General features: G+C 50.3%; 2 annotated features.

Annotated features, from left to right (window-relative positions):
• Window positions 361-559: a silencer, noted in NCBI's record as "fragment chr2:202835024-202835222 (GRCh37/hg19 assembly coordinates)". NCBI's record gives its function as "represses an EF-1alpha promoter that drives an FKBP-Casp9 reporter gene in an ReSE screen in phorbol 12-myristate 13-acetate-treated (for megakaryocytic differentiation) K562 erythroleukemia cells {active_cell/tissue: K562(+PMA)}" and the evidence as "EXISTENCE:reporter gene assay evidence [ECO:0000049][PMID:32094911]".
• Window positions 3770-4674: an enhancer, noted in NCBI's record as "NANOG-H3K27ac-H3K4me1 hESC enhancer chr2:202838433-202839337 (GRCh37/hg19 assembly coordinates)". NCBI's record gives its function as "activates a minimal SCP1, AML or CMV promoter by ChIP-STARR-seq in primed H9 embryonic stem cells {active_cell/tissue: H9 hESC(primed)}" and the evidence as "EXISTENCE:reporter gene assay evidence [ECO:0000049][PMID:30033119]".

A 4932-nucleotide genomic window follows, 5' to 3' on the forward strand; every position in this document is an offset into this window, starting at 1 on the left:
TTTTCCTGAGAGACCTAAGCCCACTGAAATTCCAGGTTGCTACTCCCAGAGGCAGGGCAGACTAGGCACACATGTCAGAACCTCTCTTTCCCAATACGGAGCCACGGGCTGTTTGGTGAGCATAGAACCACAGGAAAAAGAATTTAGGTTGTCTGGAAGGGATGTTTCCATCCATCATGGAAGCTCGATGACTCACATTTTCCCAGCATCCAAATACTCTTGTTAAGCGGCCTGTGAGTTTCCCACTGAGTGTTTTAAATAAATGCTTTATACATACACCCTCTCCCACCCCCACAGCTCCAGGATGACCCCAAATGTGCGATTTCTTCATCCTTACCCTGTCAAAACACCCTCAGTACAGCTCCCCAGAAACCACATCCCCTTATGCAAGGCACACGCTGCAGCTTCATCCATCCACAGGCATCTGAAGGAGCGACCAGCTTCCAATGAGGGGTCCGGTGGGATGAGAGAGCTGGGGGAGGCAAGTCCACCTCGTAACCTTGTCCCTAGTTAAGAACTTCTCTTGTGTGCTTCAAGATAGAACTACAGAATGAGAAAGCTGGACGTTGGAAGAGGGACCCCAACATTTATCTAGCCCAATCCCACTAATTTCCTAACTAGGAAACTGTAAAAACAGTTTTAAAAGTTAAAGGTTGTACAGAATCATTACTGTCATCATCTTCATCACCATCACCATCGCCATCACCATGATTTCATAAACCTGGATTCCACAGTCTACCGATGAGTCACTTCATTCAGGGTCTTTTCTAAGAGACTGGTTTTTCCCACCTCCCTTTATGTAGGGTCCCTATGAACTCCTTCTGGCTGCTAGAGGGTGCTCTGGTCTGAATGTTTGTGTACTCCCACCAAATTCATATGTTGAAACCCAACCCCAAGGCGATGGTATTAGGAGGTGGGGCCTTTACAAGGTGATTGGGTCATGAGGGTGGAGCCCTTAGGAATGGGATTAGTGCCCTTACAAAAGAGGCCTGAGGGCACTCGCTCGCCCTTTCCTCCATGTGAAGACTGCACAGTAAGGAGCCATCTGTGAAGCAGAGAGCCCTCACCAGACACCAAAGCTACACCTGTAGATCGGCATCATTTGATCTTGATCTTGGACTTCCCAGCTTTCAGAACTGTAAGTAATAGATTCCTGTTGTTTATAAATTACTTAGTCTAAGGTATTTTGTCATAGCAGCTCCAACAGACTAAGACAGAGGGAGAAAGGGGATGGCCTCAAGTTCAGGAGCATCTCTGTCTTCTGAGCGCTATTTCTCAGAAGGGCCCCCAGGGGTACGCTCAGGCCTCCATCTCCCCCAGTTGTGGGGCTCTGCACATGGGCTACAGGTGTGGGGACAGCCAGTCAGTTTTAACGAATCACTGATGTACATGGAGCACACTGCAGTCCAAACCCTGGTGCTTTTTAGGTGGTAACTCATTTAATCATCATACCAACACTTTGCAAGAGAGGAGCTCGAGATACAGAGAGGATAAGTCACTTGCCAAGGTCAAGGGACTGGCAAGGGGCAGAGCCAGGATGCAAATCCAGGGTCTAACCCCCATCTCCTGTCTGCATTTCTGATTGGGTGCAGAACATTCTAGGACCCAATTTTCCACCCTTTCTCCTTTTTCTCTCTCACAGCTAATCATCCCCCTTCCCCACAGGGCTGCCAGGAGGGTGATGAGTCACCTCCATGGGCACACATCCATGCTTTTGCCCACCCCACAAGCCTCCTGGTAGCTATTTCTGGAGGGAAACTATCTGAGGAGGAGAATGGGAACGGCTGTTTTCAATTCTAAACTCTGACGCAGCCAAAGCCAGCACCCAGCCCAGGGCCCTACCCTCTTGCTTTTTCCTAAGAGATGATAAAGATGGTGTTGGTGGTGATGACAGTCAGAGGGAAGCAGGAGACTGAGGTGCCAGGAACAGGGCAAGATAAACTGAGTAAGACTGCAATTTGCTAAAGCCTACACCAAAATCTTTGCCAGCCACAAAATTGCTATGCTCATTTGAGTTGGATTTCCATTCCAGCTCAAATGCTCTGTACAGCCATCCTGGGACCTTCCCAGGATCCAGGGTATGGAGCCTTAGGGGACTCTCACTCCCCCTGTGCCCACAGAGGCCCTGATGCCTGGAGCGTGGGCACCGCCTCTGGGAGGCTCCAGGGTGCCTGGAGTCTCCTGGAAGCAGAGAGAAGCTTTCAGCTGTTCCCACCCCTTGGATCAGTTTCCAGCTTGAGACAACGTGCTTGTCAAAGCCCCTTGGAATTGCCAGAGTAGGTAGAGTCTAAACATTCATGTAGTTACAGGATAATAATTACACCTTCCATGTACATAACACCTTTCTTCCCCAGAGCAGCCGGCTTCTCACATTATCTCATTAATCCTCCTGTCCCTGGGAGGCAGGGAGGACACAGCGTGACTACCCTGAGTGAGAAGGGAGAGTGAGGGAGACAGAGAGAGAAGGTACTTGCCCGGGGTCACACTCTTAGTCGCATGCTTCAGGTGTAGGCTGTGCTGGGTCCTTGGCCAGAAATCAGAAAAATCATAATGGTTGTCCTCAACTGAGTGCTTTACTCAGTTGACCCTAGGCAGTCATTAGCATAGTTTCCCTCAGTCCTGGCAATGGCCTCGTGAGGCTGGGATTATTCTGGTCTCCTTTACAGATGGGGGAACTGAGCTCAGCGAGGTGCAGCTCCTTGCCAGGGGTGTGGTAGGCAGGACGGCTGGGCTGCACGTATTCCACCCTCTGCAGCAGACCCCAACAGCCTGCTCCCGAAGCTGGTCTTCCTCCCAGAGCAACACCAGGTAACCAAAGGCAGAGCACGTTTAACAGGGAGGGTTGACCCCCTCCTCTGGCCCCTGGGAGGTCAGAGCAGTAGCTGAGCGACCAGGAGGCAGAAAAAGCGGCTCATTATGTAGTCTTATGGAATCTATAGAAAAGACCTAATTCACTGAGAGCTGCACCCCACCCCCACCCCTCCTCCAGTCCCATTCCTGTTTCCTGGCCCATCCTTTTGACACAGGGACAATTACTGCTATTCATGCCCACCCCAAGGCCACCTGCCACTGACCCATTCTCATGCACATGGAGCTAAAGATCAGGCACAAAGCAGGCCAATCTGAGGTTTTCCACCAGACCTAGGAGGGGACCCTCTGTACACCCCCCACCCCTCACCCCCACCGTCAGCATTCAGGGCAGCCAGGCGTCTGCAAATTCCAGGAGGCTGCCTGGCCTGGGAGACCCATCAAGGAACTGGCTGCTGGGGACTGCCAATGCCTGCTCGTCCACACCAAGGCCTCACATCAGTGTGGGGAGGTTCAGCCCACAAGAAACTGGTCTTTGGAATGAAGGCTGGGGTGGTGATCCTAGACAAACCCATGCTTTGGGAGCCCCAAGTCCTGACTCCCACACACAGATCCCTAGAGGTGGCTCACTGGAGCAGAGTGTTCAGTTTCTGGAAATTTTGTGAGATGGTTGATGTCACACTGGTAGCTTGAAATCAGCTACCAATTTGGGAGTAGTAATGCCATGTTAATGGCCAAAGCCACAAATCGGCTCCGCCCTCTCCCAGCCAGCTGTTAAACGTTTACCAGCACGCCACTGTCTGGGGGTCAGATACTGCACCCTTCCTAGAGCATCTGGGAAGTCCGAAAAACAATGGACAAGATCTCAGGGCAGCCAGGCCGTGAGTAAGCGGCAAACTTATTTACAGCTAACACTGTCTTCCTGATGGGTTTCTGGGAATATTCTGCCACCTTGCAGAAATGTTGCCTCTAAGCTCCTTCTTCAAAAGAGGTGTTATTTGGACCACAGAATGAATTCTTGGCATGGCGAGGTTGTGGCTGGCAGATCTTTGTGCTATCACTCACACTAGCCCAGGCACAGAAGCATACCTTCTTCACAATTCTTGCAAATTTTTGGTGAATTAAATTAAACTAAATTTTTTTTTTTTAAAAAAAAGGAAGTTTCAGGCTGGGCGCGGTGGCTCACACCTGTAATCCCAGCACTTTGGGAGGCCAAGGCAGGCAGATCATGAGGTCAGGAAATCGAGACGATCCTGGCTAACACTGTGAAACCCCGTCTCTACTAAAAATACAAAAAATTAGATAGGCGTGGTGGTGGGCGCCTGTAGCCCCAGCTACTCGGGAGGCTGAGGCAGGAGAATGGCGTAAACCCGGGAGGGCAGAGCTTGCAGTGAGCCCAGATTGCGCCACTGCACTCCAGCCTGGGTGACAGAGCAAGACTCCCCCTCAAAAAAAAAGAAGTTTCAGTTTGTTCTAGTTGAATCAACTTACAGCTGTCAGGGGCAAAGTTTGATAAAGAAAAGTTTATCCGGCTGGCTATAATTCATTGGCTGCCTTTGAATTTGGGGTAATGACAAGGCCTCTCCCTGCACAGCCCTGAGAGCCCTTCCTGTAGCTGGAGCTTCCTTTTGGCAACTGAAGAACTTCTCAGGATTCTTCTCCAAGTGACGTTAAATGGCCCAGCTGATTTTATTAAAACAATCATAATTGTTTCCTGCAGAAAACAGGAGAGTAACAGAATCTTACATAGGTTGTTTTGGAGGTGATTTCCTGCTGGAATGCCTCGTGAGTAAGCCTGGGGACAGTGACATGAACAGCTGCCTCCCTAGGACGTTTCTTTATGTTTGCGTATAATAAAGTAATTAAGAAATATGAATAAACGGCAACTACTGCCAAAACCTCCAAAATACCATCAGTTTCAACTGCTATGCCTTAGGGAGACATCTTTTTCACCCTGCTTGTTCCCAACTCTGAGCCCTTATCCATGTAGACTCCTCACACCCCCAATTCCCAAATGTCCCTGCAGCTCCCATCCCCTGTGGCTGGCGGCAGAGGCAGCGCTGGCTTTCCACAGGCTCCCTGAGGACTCCAGGCCTCTTCAACGCCTCCCTCATGCCTGCCTTT

The sequence above is a fragment of the Homo sapiens genome, chromosome 2, assembly GCF_000001405.40.
Source record: "Homo sapiens chromosome 2, GRCh38.p14 Primary Assembly".
Classification (NCBI taxonomy): domain Eukaryota; kingdom Metazoa; phylum Chordata; class Mammalia; order Primates; family Hominidae; genus Homo; species Homo sapiens.